This window comes from Homo sapiens, chromosome X (assembly GCF_000001405.40).
Source record: "Homo sapiens chromosome X, GRCh38.p14 Primary Assembly".
Classification (NCBI taxonomy): domain Eukaryota; kingdom Metazoa; phylum Chordata; class Mammalia; order Primates; family Hominidae; genus Homo; species Homo sapiens.
Window position 1 is genome coordinate 13,387,551 of NC_000023.11, and position 22,989 is coordinate 13,410,539.

Below are 22,989 nucleotides of genomic sequence, written 5' to 3' on the forward strand. Positions count from 1 at the left end.
TTGTGGCTCAAAATAATAAACATTTATTATCTCAGTTTCTGGGGGTCAGGAATTCAGGAGCAGCTTAGCTGGGTGGTTCTGGCACAGAGTCTCTCATGAGGTCGTAGTCAAGATGTTGGCTGGAGTGACAGTCATCTGAAGCCTTGACTGGGGTTGGTGGATCGTCTTCCAAGACGGGTTACTCACATGGTTGTTGGCAAGAGGTCTCAGTTCCTCCCCAAGTGGACCTTTTCATAGGGCTGCTTGAGTGTCTTCATGGCATGGCAGCTATGATATAAGAGAGACAGCAAAGAGGAAGTTGCCATGCTGACACCATCTAGTCTCAGAAGCCACACACCACCACTGCTGCCATATTCTATTAGTTAGAAGTGAGTCACTAAGTCTAGCCCATGCTCAAGTGGAAGAGAATGAGTCTCCACCCTTGAAAGGGAAAAGTTTCAAATGTGTTGACCTATTTTAAAGCTACCACAGGGCAGCTGTCTGGGTGGCTCCTTCATCAGTTTTCTTGCAACACTTCATATCAGCTCTCTGTACCTGCCAAACTTCAATGATTATAAATGTATGAGTCTAGTCATGTATAAAAAGCTCTGAAAAATTAGGTAGAAGAAACTTCAAATAGTTTAATAAGCTTTGCATTGCATTTTCATTCCCCTTTGGTTGGATTTTCATTGGAATGTGGATTTCTATAAACTACATATTAAAACTCCCTTTATGGGTCATTGCTAATCTAAAACTTATGGTGATTTAGACAGGGATTGGATTATAAAATAACTTTGTCCATAAGCACAAATAAAAAAGTGTAAATGAGATCTGAGGAACAGTGTTTACATACTTTAATGAGGTCATTGCTTTCAGGCACTTTATGGGCAAACTTTCCATTTAATTAAATCACAGAGGCCAGATTTAAGCTGACACTTTAAAATGTTCATTAAAAAAATTATCCTTTTTGTACCCTGGACCCAAGGGAAAGATCATGAAGTATGTGCTATATGCACAACTATGTCCTGAGAACAATGAATCAGCTGTTTTTTAAGGCTATTTTTCTTTGTTTGCATTTTCCCCTAAATTCTATTGTAAAAAATTTTAAGCATGCAGAAAAATTGAAAGAATAACACAATAAACACTTGGTTATCCTCCACCTAGATTTGATCATTTTGACATTTTGCCAAATTTGCTAATTCTCTCTCTCTGCACACACACACACACACACACACACACACACACACACACACACAGAGAGAGACATAGATGCACAAAGCCTATAAAAGCATCGCCTTTTTGGAGGTGCTGACCCATTTGAAAGTAAGTTGCAAATAATACCATCACTCTTCACCCGTAAATATATCTCCCAAGGAAAGGGGACATTCTCCTATATAACCTTAATACCGTTGTCATATTTAAGAAGATTAATAATAATCCCATTACATGGCCTTCGCATGCAAATTTTCCAGCTGACAAGTCAAAAAGACGCAGAAGCCAGCTTAAGGGTGTTCCTACTGATGAAATTAGGAAAAATTTGAGCATCAGAATGAATGACAATAAAGGAGTATAGCCCATTAAATGAAAGAAGGATCTGTGTGTCCATATTTATATAAATAAATGGTGGGGAGGCAAGGGGAAAAAACATTGTCCTTGTAGTAGAAAACCACCTATTAAATAGAAGGAACAATGGGATAAGAAAAATTACGGTCATAATAAAAATCGATTTAGGCAAGAATCATCAATGGATACTAAAATTAGTGGGTGGAAGCTTGAGGAGTATATTGTATTAGTTTCCTACTACTGCTGTGACAACTTACCACAAATTTTGTGGCTAAAACAATGCAGATTTATTATCTCACAATTCTGTAGGTTAGAAGTCCAATGCAAGTCTCCCAAGGCTAACGCCACCATGTTAGCAGGGCTGCATTCCTTTCTGAAGCTCTAGGGAAGAAGCCCTTTCCTTGCCATTTCCAACATCTAGAGGTATATATATAGCGTATTTTTATTTTCTCTATTTTTAATGCTTTGACATCTTGGGGGCTTGGTGACCCTGGAGCTCTTCCAAGGGCTAGCTAATCCCTAGAGATAGTAGAGGATTTGACTGCAAGTGTGCCTTTCTAATGCAAACCAACTAATCCAAAGCCCACACCCACAACTGCCTCCTCTATTGAGCTCTGACACCCTGGGCCACCACTACCCTGCCTTAATCACCCAGGCTAGGTGCCAGACACTAGAGACAGCCCTTACACCTCAGAGTCCACTGAAATTATTCAAACTAGCTGATCTAAACCTGCTTACCCTGCCTCACCCATTTCTTCCAATGGAAACCACAATAAAGGCTCTTGCCCACATTTTCACCTTGCACTCTCTGCCTCCTGACCAACTGATAATAGTTTGGATGTGTGTCCCTGCCCAAGTCTCATATTGAAATGTAATACTCAGTGTTGGAGTTGGGGCCTGGTGGGAGGTGATTGGATCATGGGGGCAGTTTTCTCATTAATGGCTTGGCACCATCCCCCTTGGTATTGTCCTCATGATAGTGAGTTCTTGTTAGGTGTGGGTGTTTAAAAGTGTGTAGCACCTCCTCCCTCACTCTCTTGCTCCTGCTCTGGCCATGTGACATGCCTGCTCCCCCTTTCCATCATGATTGTAAGTTTCCTGAGGCCTCCCCAGAAGCTCAGCAGATACAGCATCATGCTTCCTATAACAGCCTGCAAAACCATGAACTAATTAAACCTCTTTTCTTTACAAATTACCCGGCCTGAGGTATTTCTTTTTTTCTTCTTCTTCTTTTTTCTTTTTTTTTTTTTTGAGATGGAGTTTTGCTCTTTCACCCAGGCTGGAGTGCAGTGGCATGATCTCGGCTGATTGCAACCTCCATCTTCTGGTTTCAAGCGATTCTCCAGCCTCAGCCTCCCGAGTAGCTGGGATTACAGGTCCACGCCACTACCACCTGGCTAATTTTTGTATTTTTAGTAGAGACGGGGTTTCACCATGTTGGCCAGGCTCATCTTGAACTCCTGACCTTGTGATCCAACTGCCTCAGCCTCCCAAAGTGCTGGGATTACAGGGCGTGAGCCACCACGCCCAGCCCCTGAGGTATTTCTTTATAGCAGTGTGAGGACGAACTAAAACACCAAGCCCAGTGCTTCCTCATGTAGCCCCCATAATTTGGCATGTCCCTACTCTTGGGATCTGCGAGTATAACAAAGTATTTTTTCAATGGAAATAAACGCCTGGTCTGTCGGCCTCACTGTATCTGAATAATAATAAGATCCACATTTTAAAACAAAGGCCACCCATGTTTCTTAGCTCATGATCCCCTTCTTCTGTCTTCACAGCCAGCAAATGATGGGTCAAGTCCTTCTCACTTTGCATAATTCTAATTTTTGCTTCTGTCATTATAACTCCTTCTCTGATTCTGATTCATTTGCCTGCCTCTGGAACTTTTAAGGACCCTTGTGATTACCTTGGGCCCACCAGCATAATCTTCCTCTCAGCTGATTAGCAACCTTAATTCTGTCTGTAACTTTTATTCAACCTTTTGCCATGTAACATATTCACAGTTTACAGGATTAGACATGGCCATCTTTGGGAGGCCATTCTGCCTAGCACCAGGAGTAAAAGGATATTTACAGAGTCTCAAAGTTTTTCCTCACAAGATGTTCATTAATTACAAAGGGGAAAATAGTAAGTAGCTTTATAGTAGAGAAATTTGTCATACAAGGCCTTAATCAAGTGATCGAATTCAGCATCACCAGAAATGGGACAAACTGACATAAATGTGATCCACAATATGATGTACTGAGTACACATGATTTCTGTGCTATTCCTGCCAAAAACATGCATAACCTGAGTCTAATCATGGGAAAATAGACAAACTCAAACTAAAGAACATTATACAGAGTAACTAATCTGTATTACAAATGTCAATGTTGTGAAAGGCTAAGAAGGACTAAGAAAGTATTTAGGATTAAATGAGATTATAGACATAAGACAACTAAATGCTTTATAAGATCTGAAATTTTCTTTTGCTGTAAAGGACATTATTGGGACAATTAGCAAAATTTGAAAAAGGTCTATAGATTAGATAACAGTATAGTGTCCATGGAAATTGCCAGATTTTAATGATTATTAGTGTGGTTATGTAAGAGAATGTCCTTATTTCTTAGAAATTATCACTGAAGGAAAGAAGCATCATGCCTGCAGTGGACTTCAAAATGGTTCAGGAAAAAATTAAATATATAAATGTACATATTTTGTGTGTGTGTGTGTGCATGTACATATGTGTGTGAGAGAGAGAAGGAAAAAGTAAATGTAGTAAAATGTTAACACTTGGAAATTATGAGTGGAGTTTATATGTTCATTCTTTGTATTATTCTTGCAACTTTTCTGTAAGTAAAATTATATCAGAATAAAAGCTTTTTGGTTTTTTTTTTGTTTTTCGTTTTTGAGACAGGGTCTCACTCTGTTGCCCAGACTGGAGTGAAGTGGTATGAACACGGCTCACAGCAACCTCTGCCTCCTAGGCTCAAGCGATTCTCCTGCCTCAGCCTCCCGAGTAGCTGGGATTACAGGTCCACACCCCTACTACCCAGCTAATTTTTGTATTTTTAGTAGAGACGGGGTTTCACCATGTTGGCTAGGCTGGTCTCCAACTCCTGACCTCAAATGATCCACCTGCCTCAGCCTCCCAAAGTGCCGGGATTACAGGCGTGAGCCGCCGCACCCGGCCTTATTTTTTTTAATTACCTAATATTTTGGATTTCATAGCTATTTTTTCAACTAGAATCTAATCATGGTTCATAGAAACATTTGGACATTATGTTCCTTCAGTTTCAATCCATAGCACTCCTCCTCACTTTTCCTTTCATGACATCAACTATCTAAAGAGTCCATTTCAACTGCTTTGTTCTACATAATGGATTTATCTGCATGTTTCCTTGTGGTGTCATTTAACTTATGCCTGGTAGTGTGAGCTATCAGTTTTCTTACTCCAATGTCACTACTGAAAGGTCTTCTTACCATGGCAGACCAAGGTCTGCCAAACCTATAAATACTTATTAGCAAGAAGGCACACAAAACCATCACATTGTTCCATAGTACAGGGTTTGCCCACTCTCCCCCAGAACACACCGACTAGCACCTTATGTGAGAGGCTTACTCTGAAGTGAATACAAAGATATTTGGGCAGCAGGACTGGATAGACTCAAGTGATAGTCAGGGGCTGTTGAGAAGAGGAGAGCCATGGGACGTTGTATCTCAAGACCTCAAGAACTACACATATTGTTTTAAACTGTTTGGCTGAGTGCAGTGGCTCATGCCTGCAATCCCAGCACTTTGGAAGGCTGAGACAGGCAGATCACTTCAGGTCAGGAGTTGGAGACGAGCCTGGCCAACATGGTGAAACCCCATTTCTACTAAAAATACCAAAAAAAAAAAAAAAAAAATTAACCAAGTGTGGTGGCAGGCGCCTTTAGTCCCAGCTACTCGGGAGGCTGAGGTGGGAGAATCGCTTGAACCAGGAGGCAGAGGTTGCAGTAAGAGGATATCACGCCACTGCACTCCAGCCTGGGCAACAGGGAGAGACTCCATCTCAAAAAAAAAATAATAAAAATTAAAAAAATAAAAGTAAAATGTTGGGTTCGGTTGTGGTGGCTCATGCCTGTAATCCCAGCACTTTGGGAGGTCGAGGCGGGTGGATCACCTGAGATCAGGAGTTTGAGATCAGCCTGGCCAACATGGCAAAACCCCATCTCTACTAAAAATACAAAAATTAGCCAGGCAGTACTGGTGCGTGCCTGTAATCCCAGCTACTCGGGAGGCTGAGGCACGAGAATCACTTGAACCTGGGAGGCGGAGGTTGCAGTGAGCCAAGATCACGCCACTGCACTCCAGCCTGGGCGACAGAGCAAGACTCCGTCTCAAAAAAAAAATTAAAATAAACTCTTAGACATAAAGAGTGGCGCATTTTGAACATTATCCCCAACCAACTGCTTTTCATGACCACCACTCATTTTGCCAATAAAATATTCTTCACATCCCTTCGTGTCAACTAGCAAAATACTAGATATAGGCTTAGTAAGGATTCTTCAAGCTCTAAATAATCAACTCCAGCGGTATTGAGTCCTGAATAGGCCCCTTCATTGACTACTGCTGGAGTGGATACATGCACGCTCACTTATGTACACTTATCCACTGTATACACATGTAAACACGTATACACTTCACCTCATTCTGAAAACAATCACCCCCCAGGGACTCATTTTGCCCAACAAACACACACTTGTTTGCTACAGGTCATTAAAAATAGCAAAGGCTGCTGGAAGTGTTTTTATGCTCACATTCCCTATGACTAAGAAAATGCCCACCTGAATCTAATCCTGAGAAAACTCAGACAAACCTGAATCAAGAGGCATTCAATAAAAAACTGCCCTATAATCTTCAAAAGTGTCCAATCCATGGAATTCAGAGAATGACTGAGGAACTGTTTCAGCTGAGGGAGATGGAAAAGATATGACAGCCAAGTTCCGCATGTGACTCTGCACTGATCCTTTTGTGATAAATGGCGTTACTGGGATAGTCGTCAAAACTTAGTTGGCATCTGTAGATTGCAGGGTCTTAATGTATCAATGCTAATTTCCTGACTTGGATGGCTGTATTGTGGTTGTGTAGGAAAATGTTCTTTTTTATAGGATTCAGGAGGGTTGGAGCATCAGATTGGGAACTGGTTCAGGGAAAAACAATTCTGTATTCTTCTTTCAACCCTTCTGTAAGTTTGTGTTTGTTTCAAAATGAAATAATTTATTTTTTTAAAAGATAATGCCAATTGTGCATATTGAAGAGTGTTAGATAAGTGGGTGGCTTGAGAGGTGCTAGTAGAAATTGAAGGAGTGTCTGAGGATCTTTCTCTCACAAATCCACCCTTGGCCTTGCCCCTGGTTGTTCTCTGGGAATCCCTCAGATACTTCACTTCTTCTCCATGAAATCTTACATCTTCATCTCAAAGCAAAGGGATTCAAGATGATTGTGGGGATGACGTGGTGATTTCCACAGACTCCTCAGTTATCCTGTAGTATGGCCATAAGCCTCCCCACTCAAAGACAAATGTGCATGGCTCTTCTTTGTGTTCCTATGGAACTTGATTAGTTCACCCTCAATTAAGTCATGCTTACCTAAACATTCTAGTTGGCATGCTGTTTTCAAATGTAAGTTTATTATTATTCAAATATGGTGAGGCCAACAGATCCGATTGCCATTGAAAAGATGGTTGGTTACACTTCCAAAGAAGATGGAGACGCCATGCCAGTCAGGACCACGTGGAGTGTAAGAGTTCAATAAAAGAAGTGGTTGAGGGTATGGGCTTTGGATTGGTTGGTTTGTATCTAGAAAGACACACTTGCAGGTGAGCCCTTCACTATCTCTAGGAATTGACTAGCCCTGTGAGGGGCTGTCCCTCCAGGGTCGGCAAGGCTCAAAAACGTGAAAGCATCAGAAACACAAGACTAATACACAAACCCAGAGTAGATAGCTACCGTTGCTCTTCCAAAATGACTTACACATGTCTGGTGGCCTGAGGCCTCAGTTCTTCTCCACATGAACTTCTCCACAGGTCTTAAAATTTTCCCTTTCTGAACAAGAAAGACATAAATGGAAATGGCCAAGCAAGATGGAAGACCCTGAGTGAAGTGCATACTGAGGTTTCAGCAACTCTTGTCACACCCTGCAGGTTTTGATAGACTAGAAAAATGACAAGACTCCAAGTCCTTGAAGAGGAGGAAAAGTGTGAAGAAAACAAAAAAGGGAGATTTATGTCTGCTTCACCATTTTGCCCAAGACTTGACCTGTCATACACTGAAGGTACTTGAATGTTTATAATCATAAATTGCTTATTTTAAAATTAAAACTCTAATCTTTCTATATCATTAGACAGGCTTTTTCCCCAATCAGTCTGGATTGTCAAGACTTCTCTATATAAGCATCATGCTTTGTGATGAAGGATGCACTCATTCAATCAGTATTTATTGAGCACTCACCATGTGCCAGGCACTGTAATCAGGGTTGGGGAAAAAATGGTGAAAAAACAAATATGGTGTCCTCCTCTATAAAGCTTACTTGACACTCTAACAGGGAAGCCAGAAAATCAAGTAACATGAAATAGATGTGAGACTACAACAGTGATAAATGCTGCAAGTTACAGTAAGGAAACGAGTCAGGGAAGAGGTAGTTTTTCAGAAGGAAGTTAGAAGGAGGGTAAATATCAGACTGTTACTGGTGGAGGGTGTCCAGGTTCTTGGCGTTTTGAACAAAGAATTGGACAAAACACACAAAGCAAGGAAAGAATGAAGCAACAAAAGCAGAGATTTCTTGAAAAGCAGAGCACACTCCACAGGGTGGGAGCAGCTTGAGCAAGCAGCTCAAGAGCCCAGTTACAGAATTTTCTGGGGTTTAAATACCCTCTAGAGGTTTCCATTGGTTGTTTAGTATACGCCCTATGTAAATGAAGAAACTAAAGTGAAGTTACAAAGTTATTTACTCGGTGTACATCATATGTAAATGAAGAGGATAAAGTAAAGTTACGAAGTCATTGTATTAGTTCATTTTCACACTGCTGATAAAGGCATACCCAAAACTGGGAAGAAAAAGAGGTTTAAATGGACTTACAGTTCCACATGGCTGGGAAGGCCTCAGAATCATGACGGGAGGCAAAAGGCACTTCTTACATAGCGGCGGCAAGAGAAAAATGGGGAAGAAGCAAAAGCAGAAACCCCTGATAAACCCATGAATCTCCTGAAACTTATTCACTATCCCAAGAATAGCATGGAAAAGACGAGCCCCCATGATTCAATTACCTTTCCCTGGGTCCCTCTCACAACACATGGGAATTCTGGAAGATACAACTCAAGTTGAGATTTGGGTGGGGACCCAGCCAAACCATATCAGTCATTTACTCATTGTATGCCCTATGTAAATGAAGAGGCTATTTCCTGTCACAGCTGAAGTGTTTCCATTTGATTTAGTTCTAGGAAGTCCTTAGGTTCTCTGCCTTCAGGCCCTATTCTCCTGCCTCAGTGGTAGTCCCCAAAATAATATAGCTAATTACTATGCTGAAGCTACCCAGGATAACAACATGTTTTGAGGTGGGAAGGAAGACTGTGAGTAAGGTGCAAAAGTCTTCCATCAATGTTGGGGAGTTACCAGGAGGTCAGTAGGAGAGACAGAAGGTGGGACAGGGATGAAATGGCATGAGCTGGAAAGAGGTTTTTTGTTTTTAATAAGAGTTCTAATAATACCATAGAGAATGTTCAGGAAGAGGCAATGAAGAATAAGGGAAAATACTAATCGTGAAAAAATGAATGCAAACTTTATAATTTTCTAAAATGCCCATGGGCCTCCCCATGCCCCCACTGGAAAGTTAAGGCAATGTAAAACTGATCTATGAAAGGATTTGGAGTTGTTCCACAGAGCATTCAGAAGCTTTTTATTAATCATTTATTCCCCATCTCTGCCCTTCCTTCCTATGACCTCATGCTTTGTCTATTCTCCCAATAAGCATGTTTCTGAAATATATGTTTTCCATTCCAGGCTGACATTCATAATTCTAGTGCCTTCTAGTGCACAATTTGTTTCCCATTTCAGTCCACTTCTTTCAGCAAATAGATTTGCTTTCAGAAGAGCAGCCTTAAGGAACAGCTAGCATAATATATGGTCCATCAACTAGAGAGTGTATTTCTCAACAGCCCACTCATATTTCATAAATCACAGAGCAATTATTACAACTGATTTACTCAGAAAATTTCATTTTATTTTCAATTTAATTATTTTGATTGATAAAAGTAAGATGGTTAATGGCTCCTTTTCTTGGAACTCTTAAAACACAAGTATATAATATCTAGCTTTCTAAACTAGTGAAATTCATGGTACATTGCATTTGTGTTGTGAAAATCATCATTTTTGAAGCTAAATTAGCCTCTCTACCCACTGAGAGAAGGTGCTCAACTTGAAGAGCCTGTGGCAGAAATCTCAGCTAAAATAAATTTAGCCCCTCACTCTCTTTCCCAGTGAATCTGATATCTCTATCCAATACAACGTCTGCAATTTAAAACATGTACACAAAGATAATTGGAATTTTCAAAGAAGCAAGTAACTTATCAATGACTGGAGATGCCTGTTTAAATGTTCTCTCACCTTTATATCTTGCAGGAAGCTCTTGTTTGACCTTCTGAAAAAAATCTTGAAGTATCTATGAGAACAGCTATTATATGAAGCAGAGATTATAATAGATATGGAGTTTAAGTTGCAGAAAAAGAAGACTGAATTATTAAATGGGACATCAGAAAATAAAAGTCTTTCCTTTTATCTAGTTTGGAGGACCTAAAAAAATCAATAGGCAGAAATTTACATAATCCTTATTAGATTCCACGAGCTACAAATGTACTATTAGTACAGATTGATATGAAAGAAAGATTAGTTATGCTTATGGATAGGTAAGAAGAGACACTCTTGCAAAATGGTAGATTGAAACACCCACTGAATCTTCCTGGAAGTGTGTTGAAATCAGTTAAAGGGTTAATGACACAAATATGAGGATGATTTTGTAAGGGTATGATGAAGGGGGCAAACAGCCTAATCAAAAGAAAAAAGAAATAGCACATCATGCAAGGTTATCGACACTGTTCTCAGTAACCTCTTGCATCCCTGCTGGAAAGAAACTAGTAGGGTTAAGTCAAGAATTTCCTATTGTGAAAGGAAGAAGTGACCATTGATTTGTGCCTTGTCACTCAGGTTAACTGCCAAAGAACTTTGCTCATCCAGGGGTGCATAAATGAATGCCATGTGCTACCAAAAAAAAAAGTAATAAAGGATTAAATAAGGCCATGGAAAAATGAAGCAAACTGTCACCTGGCAGTGTCTCAAGCCTGCAAACTTGATATCCCCAACTGCATTCCAAAAGTAGGGTTCAGAGACCACAAGTGCTACAGGCATGGATGAGTTAATATTTATATCTAGGAAGAAAGGATTAGCATATGCCTTCCAAAGAATGTTTCAGCAAATGCATGCAGCTGCCTGGGCATTCGCAGTTGATTGAAATGACTCAGGGGTCAGGTTTTGGTGGCCAGGCCTGCTCCACCTTTACTGGAATGCATGAGTCATGTGTTAGTCGGCTGGGTGAGAAGACTACACTGGCTTTGCGCATTCTTATATTTCTCACAATCCAGACAAAGCAACCACATGACCAGATTCCAACAAGACTAACAGTCAGATAAGGAGGGAAAGTCATTGAAATAAACGAGAGAAGAGAAAACCTAAATGTGTTTTAAACTTCTAAAGCGAGAACTGAACAATAAACAGTTTTCTACAACAGGGCTTCTATAAGACCAGTAACTTCTATGCTCCCCAAAAAGTATTTATGAAACTATTTGAGTGGTTTTACATCTTGATTATTCTTCCACTTAAATATTGTCTTTAAATGACCTGCCTGGGTGCATGTCCAGAATGGAAATAGCAAAAGTTAGATGTCTTACAGTCCAAGCTCTACAAGTCCTAGCTATGTGACCATGTTGGTTATGATTAGACCAACTGCATTTGGTCTAATCCTAACCTCTGGGTGTTTTAATAAACTCTGATAGCCTCCAGGGATTATTAAAAAGTCCAGAGGTGAGGCCAGGCATGGTGGCTCACACCTGTAATCCCAGGACTTTGGAAGGCTGAGGCAGGCGGATCACTTGAGGTCAAGAGTTCGAGACCAGCCTGGCCAACATGGTGAAACCCCGCCTCTACTAAAAATACAAAAAAAAATTATCCTGGCATGGTGGCACACACCTGTAATCCCAGCTACTCGGGAGGCTGAGGCAGGAGAATTGCTTGAACCTTGGAGGCAGAGGTTGCAGTGAGCCAAGATCATGCCACTGCACTGTAGCCTCCTGGGTGACAGAGTGAGACTCAGTCTCCAAAAAAAAAAAAAAAAAGGGCCAGAGGTGGTCAGTCCAGGCCGATGTAGTACCTTAACAAAGTCACTGGGCAGTCAGAGTCCTTCTATCTGCTTCACCATTCTCATACATACATGGTTTGCATCCTCAGTGTCACAATATGGCTACTCTGGCTGCAGCCATCACATCTACATTCCAGGGAACAGGAAGGTAAAAGGGGTAAGGCAAGAAGAGGCACGTCCTATTCCTTTCTAAGGAGTCTTTCCGGAAGTGACACCCAATAGCTTTCATATTGGACAGAATTCAGTTATAATGCCATGCTTAGCTGGGAAATATACTCTTTTAGTTAGGCTGCCACCCTGAAAAATATCAGGACTCATTGACTAAAGATGTAAGGAAAAGTGAATATTAGGTAGGCAACAAGCAGTCTCAGCCAGAGTGACATTAAAGTCACCACCATCTTTGAGTCCATTGTCTGTTCATTTATAAAATGGATGTAAAATTTATAAAATGGATAGGCAATGCCTACTTGACATGATTGGTGAGGTGAAAAACACTATACAAATATTAGCTGATAACAGCCCCCAAAACCTAGCTTAGAATAATAGGTATCCAAGTGTACATTCAGTATTACCCCACTTTCTGGAAAAATCAAGTCCCTAGTCAGATAAGAGTTCAGAGACTCAGTTTTGCTTCACTACCTCATCCTAGTCCTACTACCTGGACATCTTCTCTTTTCCTTTCTTACAAATAACTTGAAGAAATAGCTCTCTTTCTTCATTCTGTCTTCCTAGTTCTCTAGTGTCTCCATGACTGGGCCCAGACTTGCTCTTCCCACTCTATATTGCCATCAACCTTTAAAACTTGAGGATCTCTCGTTTTTTATACAAATCCTTTCAGTGTTTTTTAAAAACTCACAAGTCTTCATAGGATCATTACTTTCTCATCTCACCTGTATCTTTTGCATTTCCTGGGAAACTGGACACAAGAACTTAATAGACATGTGCAATGTAATGTGTATTACTATGTAGGGGCAATTGCATTGGTCCCTACTTAGAAATGTGGTAATGACAACTAGTGTGCTTTATTCACCACCATTATTTCCACCTGGTGTTTATTTATTTATTTAGTTTAGAGACGAGGTCTCACTATGTTGGCCAGGTTGGTCTTGAACTCCTGGCCTCAAGCAGCCCTCCTGCCTCAGCCTCCCAAAGTGCTGGGATTACAGGTGTGAGCCACCAAGCCTGGCCACCCACCTGGTGTTCTAATAAGTTTCAATCTGCATATTTTAAAAGACATTTCGCATTTAAATTCTTTAATACTCTGTAAGATACACTCTTCAGGTCTCTCATGTAGTGCTAAGAATAAGTTAACATTTTACAGATGTGAAAATTTTAGTTTCAGTGATTAAGTGAATTGTTTCTGAATTTAAGTAGCTCATCCAAGACCTTCCACGCTATAAGCAGTAGTGCTAAGATCTATATCCACCATCCGTTTCCAAGCTCAGGCACTTTTTCACCAGAATAAAAATGCCCAATTTCTACTTAAGTCAATGCAAACCACACTGCTCTATTTTATGGTGCATTGAGAAAATTTAAGGTTTAAAACTTAGAAGTCTAAAATATGCTTCTATCATGATAAACTATACTATTAGCACTCATGATTTCAAACACTAAAATAAAAGGTGGTGGTGAGATAAAAATCCATGCTAGTCATTTATTTATAAAGCTTTATCCTACAGTAGTCTGTTCGACAGACAGGTCAATCAATCTTGACTATAATGAAGAATCTTGCTTGTCTTAAGAATAGGTATGTAGCCCAGACCAGGTTTTCCTAAAAAATTATCTTCCTGTAGGTAGCTTTATAAGAATAGAGACATTTTAAATTTTAGAAGATTTTGGAATGTCTGGTGAAATTTCAAGCCACTAAGGTTAAAGTAATTGTTTTATAAAACAATGCCTTTGCAAATTGGCATCTAAAATTGGTATATTGATGAGGGAAGGAAGGTTCTAATCTAATGCAGAGGCTGCTGAAGAGTCGGCATACAGAACTGACTTCAAGAATGCCTGAAGCTAAATGTATTGATTGAAAAGGTCAGCATATTAGCAGAAGCATCCATTAACCCAAAATAGTGAGCGAAACCAAGGGGAAAATGGAAAGCTCTTAAACAATGAAATGGCTTTTGCCTTCCTGAAATGACACCTGACTATCTATGTCTCCATCCCTGGAGCGTTTTCACCAGAGCCCTAGGATTCTGAACTAGGGTGGCTATCACTGCATGAAAAATGAGAAGTCCATTATGGAACACAGGTAAAATGTGGAAGGCTTGTTGAAGACTCACTAGCATGAAAAAATAAATGAATCACTTGGTCGTAACAATAATGAACAGCTAAGAACATAATAAACTACAGAAAGTGACCACCAAGCAAAGTTAATATTATACATAAAATGCATAGTGTCTTACATTTTAACCAAACATAGCCGGATGTATGACAGGATGCAAGAACCACCTGTGGGAAACAATTCATAGCCACACAATCCTTGCCAGGATAATTACATTGAACTGTCAAAGGCCATGGTTTTGGCCTTCCTTGGGTCTTTGTGATTTTATACAGACATAAGAGACTGGCAAGACACTACTGGAACCAAACCATAGTTTTGCTGATTAAAGGCTAAAACAGGCTGCCCTCCATTGCTTCTACCTCACTGAGGCCCCAAAGACCTTGATCTCTAGGATCCAATGTTTACTGGGATTTACCACTGATGTAGCCAAACATATGGAATTTGGAATCATGGCTTGCCTATTGGTCTAGATGGGAAGATAAGCCGGATGCTGTGGCTCATGCCTGTAATCCCAGCACTTTGAGAGGCTGAGAAGGGTGGATCACTTGAGGTCAGGAGTTTGAGACCAGGCTGGCCAACATGACGAAACCCCGTCTCTACTAAAAATACAAAAATTAGCCAGGTGTGCTGGTGCATGCCTGTAATCCCAGCTACTTGGGAGGCTGAGGCAGGAGAATCACTTGAACCTGGGAGGCAGAGGTTGCAGTGAGCTGAGATTGCACCACTGCACTCCAGCCTGGGTGATAGAGTGAGACTTCATCTCAAATAAATAAACAAATTAATTAATTAACAAGAAGATAAGAGGTTTCTAAGAGATAACATGAGAAGTCCCCTATTATGATACCTAACAAAGAGTAGCTGATGCCCAGTAAATATTAAATATTCCCTTTCTTCTTTTCTCTTCCTCAGCTCAGAGAGGAAGAAAGGACCGTGTGAGAGAAGAAGGGAACAGCCTTTCATCCATAGGAGAAGTTCGTCTATGACAAAGCCACTAGCTCCATGTGGCCGCTGAGCACTCAAAATGTGGCCAGTCTGAATTGAGATATGTTGTTAGTATAAAGTCCACATCGGCTTTTTGAGCACTTTGTATGAGAAAAAAGAATACCAAATATCTCCTTAATAATTGTTACATTGATTATATGTTGAACTGATAACATTATGGATATATTGGATTAAATAAAATAAATTATTAAAATCAAATAAAAAATAAAATCAATTTCACCTGTTTCTTTTTACCTTTTTAATATGGGTCCTAGGAAATTTAAAATGGCACACATGGCTCACATTTGCACATCTACCTTTAGTGGACAAAGTTGAGGCAGGAGTTAGGTTTTTGCAAGAACTCAAAAGGAAGGCAGAACTAAGTGAGTCCACTGTGAGAGGCAGGGAGGCCCTCTGATATATGAGATGAATGCCTTCAGGTTTGACCCAAACACACAGGAATCAACTCCGTAGAATCAAAGAAAAATCTCTCTGCCTCTTGAGGCATGTAGGATGAGGGATGGACTGGCAAGGGGAAATGGCTACAGGCCAACTCAATGGAACTGCCTTTCCACACATCTTGCTTCTCTCCTTTAGATCCTTGTGTCTTTGGGTGTCACCTTCTTTCACTAGAGAGCCACAAAAACCCAGGCTCACGCCACTCACATTAAAGGAATTGAGACAGCCAAGTAAAAGGGGCTCCCCAGAGAACCTCCAGCCAGCCTTTGCACTGGGAGAAGTGCGCACTAGGGTAGAGCCTTGGAAAGTTCAAGCCATTTGCAGCGGGGAGGAGCCTGGCCTCTCCTGTTCCTGGGTGGTAAGCTGGGATTCAATCAGTGAAGCAGGAAACCTGCTAGCAGGACCCTCACTTTGCTGAGAGTCCCTGTTTCCCGTTTTTTACCTTTCTGCCGAATAAATTCCATTTTTTCCTCCCTTCTATGCGTCTGCGAGCCTAATCTTTCCTGGTCTGTGACAAGAACCCAGATTTTCCTGCAACAGAATGAGCCAATCAGACATTGATTTATCACCACTCCCAGGGCCTTCTCGTCTTTTGTTTCCCCTTCTTGGATTACTCTGTCCCCTGCTCCCCCTAAATCTGTTTCTCTCAGATGAAATCCAAGGACATATGCTCAGGTGTCCCAAAGTTCCCTATGGGAATTATTAAATTTGGTTCATTCTAAATTCATCATAAAAATATAATAACAGGAGGGAGGAGCCAAGATGGTCAAATAGGAACAGTTCCGGTCTGCAGCTCCCAGCAAGACTAACACAGAAGGCAGGTGATTTCTGAATTTCCAACTGAGATACCCAGTTCATCTCATTGAGACTGGTTAGGCAGTGGATCCAATCCACAGAGGGCAAGCAGAAGCAGGGTGGGGCATCTCTTTACCCAGGAAGTGCAAGGAGCCAGGGACCTCCCTACCCAAGCCAAGGAAAGCCATGAGGGACTGTGCTACCCAGCTGATACCCACGGTTTTTGCAGTCTGCAGATCAGGAGATTCCCTTGCGTTCCTACACTACCAGGGCCCTGGGTTTCAAGCACAAAACTGGGCAGCTGTTTGGGCAGACACGGAGCTAGCTGCAGAAGTATTTTTTCATACCCTAGTGGCGCCCAGAACCCCAGAGAGACAGAACCGTTCACTCTCCTGGAAAGTGGGCTGAAGCCAGGGAGCCAAGTGGTCTAGCGCAGCAGGTCCCACTCCCATGGAAGCCAGCAAGCTAAGAACCACCGGCTTGAAATTCTTGCTGCCAGCACAGCAGTCTGAAGTTGGCCTGGGACAATTGAGCTTGGTAGGGGGAGGGGCGTCCTCCATTACTGAGGCTTTAGTAGGAGGTTTTCCCCTGACAGTGCTAAGGAGGCTGTGAGGTCTGGGATGGGCGCAGCAAAGTGGCTGTGGCCAGACTGCTTCTCTAGATTCCTCCTCACTGAGCAGGGCATCTCTGAAGGGAAAGTAACAGCCCCAGTCAGGGGCTTACAGACAAAACCCCCATCTCCCTCGGACAGAGCACCTGGGGGAAGGGGCGGCTGTGGGTGCAGCTTCAGCAGATTTAATCGTTCCTGCCTGCTGGCTCTGAAGAGAGCAGCTGATCCTGACAAGAGGCATTCTGCCAGCACAGTGCACCAGCTCTGCTAAGGGACAGACTTCCTCCTTAAGTGGGCCCCTGGCCCCCGGGCCTCCTGACTGGGAGAAACCTCCCAACAGGAGTCAACAGACATCTACAGGAGAGCTCCGGCTGGCATCAGGCCAGTGCCGCTCTGGGAGGGAGCTTCCAGAGGAAGGAGCAGGCAGCAATCTTTGCTGTTCTGCAGCCTCCACTGGTGATACCCAGGCGAACAAGGTCTGGAGTGGACCTCCAGCAAACTGCAGCAGACCTGCAGAAGAGGGGCCTGTTAGGAGAAAAACTAACAAACAGAAAGCAACAACATCAATATAAAGGACCCCCCACACAAAAACCCCATCCAAAGTTCATCAGCCTCAAAGATCAAAGGTAGATAAATCTACAAAGATGAGGAAAAACAAGTGCAAAAATGCTGAAAATTCCAAACACCAGAAGGCCTCTTCTCCTGCAAATGATCGCAACTCCTCTCTAGCAAGGGCACAAAACTGGACAGAGAATGAGACCGAAGAATTGACAGAAGTAGGCTTCAGAAGCTGGGTAATAACAAACTCCTCTGAGCTAAAGGAGCATGTTCTAACCCAATGCAAGGAAGCTATGAACCTTCAAAAAAGGCTACAGGAACTGCTAACTAGAATAACCAATTTAGACAGGAACATAAATGACCTGATAGAGCTAAAAAACACAGCACGAGAACTTCATGAAGCATACACAAGTATCAATAGCTGAATCAATCAAGCCAAAGAAAGGATATCAGAGACTGAAGATCAACTTACTGAAATAAGGTGTGAAGACGAGATTAGAGAAAAAATAAAGAAAAGGAATGAACAAAGCCTCCAAGAAACCCTGCAAGCCAGAAGAGAGTGGGGGCCAATATTCAACATTCTTAAAGAAAAGAATTTTCAACCCAGAATTTCATATCCAGCCAAACTAAACTTCATAGGTGAAGGAGAAATAAAATCCTTTCCAGACAAGCAAATGCTGGGGGATTTTGTCACCACCAGGCCTGCCTTACAAGAGCTCCTGAAGAAAGCACTAAATATGGAAAGGAAAAACTGGTACCAGCCACTGCAAAAACACACCAAAATATAAAGACCAATGACACTATGAAGAAACTACAACAACTAATATGTAAAATAACCAGCTGGCATCATGATGACAGGATCAAATTCACACATAACAATATTAACCTTAAATGCAAATGTGCTAAATGTCCCAATTAAAAGACACAGATGGCAAACTGGATAGAGTCAAGACCCACTGGTGTGCTGTATTCAGGAGACCCATCTAACATGCAAAGACACACATAGGCTCAAAATAAAGGGATGGAGAAATATTTACCAAGCAAATGGAAGGCAAAAAAAGAGCAGGGGTTGCAATCCTAGTCTCTGATAAAACAGACTTTAAACCAAGAAAGGTCAAAAGACACAAAGAAGGCCATTACATAATGGTAAAGGGATCAATGCAACAAGAAGAGCTAAGTATCCTAAATATATATGCACCCAACACAGGAGCACCCAGATTCATAAAGCAACTTTGTAGAGACCTACAAAAAGACTTAGACTTCCACACAATAATAGTAGGAGATTTTAACACCCCACTATCAATATTAGATAGATCAACAAGGCAGAAAATTAACAAGGATATACAGGACTTGAACTCAGCTCTGGACCAAGCGGACCTAATAGACATCTACAGAATTCTCCACCCCAAATCAATAGAATATACATTCTTCTCAGTGCCACATAGCACGTATTCTAAAATTGGCCATATAATTGGAAGTAATACACTCCTCAGCAAATGCAAAAGAATGGAAATCATTACAAACAGTCTCTCAGACCACAGTATAATCAAATTAGAACTCAGGATTAAGAAACTCGCTCAAAACCACAGAACTACATGGAAACTGAACAACCTGTTCCTGAATGACTACTGGGTAAATAATGAAATTCAGGCAGAAATAAACAAGTTCTTTGAAACCAATGAGAACAAAGAGACAACGTACCAGAATCTCTGGAACACATCTAAAGCAGTGTTAAGAGGGAAATTTATAGCACTAAATGCCCACAAGAGAAAGCTAGAAAGATCTAAAATAGACACCCTAACATCACAATTAAAAGAACTAGAGAAGCAACTGCAAACAAATTCAAAAGGTAGCAGAAGACAAGAAATAACTAAGATCAGAGCAGAACTGAAGGAGGTAGAGACACAAAAAACTGTTCAAAAAAATCAATGAATCGAGGAGCTGGTTTTTTGGAAAGATTAACAAAATAGATGGACCACTAGCTAGACCAGTAAAGAAGAAAAGAGAAGAATCAAATAGACACAATAAAAAATGATAAAGGGAATATCACCACTGATACCACAGAAATACAAACCACCATCAGAGAATACTACAAACACCTCTACGCAAGTAAACTAGAAAATCTAGAAGAAATGGACAAATTCCTGGACACACACACCCTCCCAAGACTAAACCAGGAAGAAGTCGAATCCCTGAATAGACCAATAACAAGTTCTGAGATTGAGGCAGTAATTAATAGCCTACCAACCAAAAAAAGCCCAGGACCAGAAGGATTCATGGCCGAATTCTACCAGAGGTACAAAGAGGAGCTGGTACCATTCCTTCTGAAACTATTCCAAGCAATAGAAAAAGAGGGACTTCTCCCTAACTCATTTTATGAGGTCAGCATCATCCTGATACAAAACCTGGAAGAGACACAACAAAAAAAGAAAATTTCAGGCCAGTATCCCTGATGAACATTGATGTGAAAATCCTCAATAAAATACTGGCAAACCGAATCCAGCAGCACATCAAAGAGCTTATCTACCATGATCAAGTCGGCTTCATCCCAGGGATGCAAGGCTGGTTCAACATACGCAAATCAATAAATGCAATCCATCACATAAACAGAACCAATGACAAAAACCACGATTATCTCAATAGATGCAGAAAAGGCCTTCAATAAAATTCAACATCCCTTTATACTAAAAACTCTCAATAAACTAGGTATTGATGGAACATATCTCAAAATAATAAGAGCTATTTATGACAAACCCATAGCCAATATCATACTGAATGGGCAAAAGCTGGAAGCATTTTCTTTGAAAACCAGCGCAAGACGAGGATGCCCTCTCTCACCACTCCTATTCAACATAGTATTGGAAGTTCTGGCCAGGGCAATCAGGCAAGAGAAAGAAATAAAAGTGTTCAAATTGGAAGAAAGGAAGTCAAATTATCTCTGTTTGCAGACGACATGATTGTATATTTAGAAAACCCCATCGTCTCAGCCCCAAAACTCCTTCAGCTGATACAAGGAACTTAAATTTATAGGAAAAAAACAAACAACCCCATCAAAAAGTGGGTGAAGGATATGAACAGGCACTTCTCAAAAGAAGACATTTATGTGGCCAATAAACATATGAAAAAAAGCTCATCATCACTGATTACTAGAGAAATGTAAATCAAAACCACAATTAGATACCATCTTATGCCAGTTAAAATGACCATTATTAAAAAGTCAGGAAACAACAGATGCTGGAGAGGCTGTGGAGAAATAGGAACGCTTTTACACTGTCGGTGGGAGTGTAAATTAGTTCAACCATTGTGGAAGACAGTGTGGCGATACCTTAAGGATCTAGAACCAGAAATACCATTTGACCCAGCAATCCCATTACTGGGTATATACCCAAAGGATTATAAGTCATTCTACTATAAAGACACATGCACATGTAAGTTTATTGCAGCACTATTTAGAATAGCAAAGACTTGGAACCAACCCAAATGCCCATCAATGATAGACTGGACAAAGAAAATGTGGCACATATACACCATGGAATACTATGCAGCCATAAAAAAGGATGAGTTCATGTCCTTTGCAGGGACATGGATGAAGCTGAAAGCCATCATTCTCAGCAAACTAACACAAGAACAGAAAACCAAACACCGCATGTTCTCACTCATAAGTAGGAGTTGAACAATGAGAACACATGGACACAGGGAGGGGAATATTGGACACAGGGAGGGGAATATCACACACTGGGACCTTTTGGGGGGTGGGGAGAAAGGGGGGGAAGAGCATTAGCACAAATACCTAATGCATTTGGGGCTTAAAACCTAGATGACAGGTTGATAGGTGCAGCAAACCACCATGGCACATGTATACCTATGTAACAAACCTGCATGTTCTGCACATGTATCCCAGAACTTAAAGTAAAAAAAAAAAAAAAAAAAAAAAAAGAATTGCAAAAAAAAAATGCATCTAGGATAGTACACTATTTTTTTCCTATTTTCTATTTATTTGTAATGCTTAACTAAAAATTCTTTCTAAAATGTTAAAAAAATATATAACAACAGAGCATTTTCTAGATTACCTGGTCAACGATCATACAACCACATACTGCTATTCAAATTCAAGGTGCACATTTGCATTTCTCTTAATCATTGCATTGGTGCCAAGTGATCTGCCTGTGTGACATGTTTGACTTTTAATACAGGATTTCTCAAACTTGGGTTAGCACAAACATCTGCAGACATAACGTTGGAATCTACAAGTCCTCAAAATTCCACTTTTCCTCATTCGTCCTCTCAGCCCTTGAGTGTTTTGTACTAGTTTATGGGATCTCTGCAGAAAAGTTTGAATGTCTAATTAATGCCTATCAACCTAATCTCTCATATAAAGATGTTCATTTTGTTGACTGACAGACACAGTGTCTTCAGTGGGTTTTTCCTTTCATTCACTTTACTACATTTAGTATGTAATAAATTTTGAAAGATCATCATGGCCAGGTTTAAAGAATTGGTCATAGGGGTTGGGAATGCCACAAAAGAAGGACTAGTGAAACAGTGAGGGGTATATTGTTCTCATCTGCTCAGGAGGAAAAGGACAGAGTGAGAGGGATTGATGACGTCCTGTCATATTGATAACTGACATAGAAAGTGCTGTGATGGGAGAAAGAATATAGATTTTGGGGTCACATGGACAGCCATGTGACTTGGCAAAATACTTGGCTTTTTCAAGTCTCAATTTCTTCATCTAAATAATGCAAATAAAAATACTAATACATCTTCAGCAAATGGCACTACACAAAGTGGATGTACATATTTTTAAAAATAAGAACTTTGACTCCTACCTCACGTCACATGCAAAAAGTTAATTCAAGATGAATCATAGACCTAAATATAAATGCTAAAATTATAAAGCTTCTAAAATAAAGGCAGGAGAATATCTTTGTAACCATGCAGGAAGTAAAGATCTCTTAGAGAGGGCACAGAAAGCTTTAGCCATGAGACGAAAAATTGATAAATCAGACTTTATCAAAGTTAAAAACTGCTTTTCAACAGACCCTATTAAGAGAATAAAAAGACAAGCCACATAGTGGGTGAAATATTTGCAACATATAAAACTGGAAAAGACTTACATTTTAAAAATATAAAGAATTCAGCCGGGCGAGGTGGCTCACGCCTGTAATCCCAGCACTTTGGGATGCCGAGGCAGGCGGGCAGATCACAAGGTCAGGAGTTCGAGACCAGCCTGGCCAACATGGTGAAACCCCATCTCTACTAAAACTACAAAAATTAGCTGAGCTTGGTGGTGGGTGCCTGTAATCCCAGCTACTCGGGAGGCTGAGACAG

The 22,989-nt window shown here is 40.8% G+C and overlaps 1 long non-coding RNA gene across 1 annotated transcript in view, besides 1 other annotated feature; it reads right to left on the minus strand.

Moving 5' to 3' along the window:
• The window catches only part of LOC124905248 (uncharacterized), a 32,555-nt gene continuing 9,566 nt past the window's right edge, over window positions 1-22,989 (minus strand). The window contains exon 2 of the long non-coding RNA XR_007068395.1: window positions 1-267. This is a non-coding gene — a long non-coding RNA (uncharacterized LOC124905248). The remainder of the gene's footprint in view (window positions 268-22,989) is intronic.
• Window positions 387-486: a silencer, noted in NCBI's record as "silent region_20666". NCBI's record gives its function as "represses an Ori minimal core promoter by ATAC-STARR-seq in GM12878 lymphoblastoid cells {active_cell/tissue: GM12878}" and the evidence as "EXISTENCE:reporter gene assay evidence [ECO:0000049][PMID:35858748]".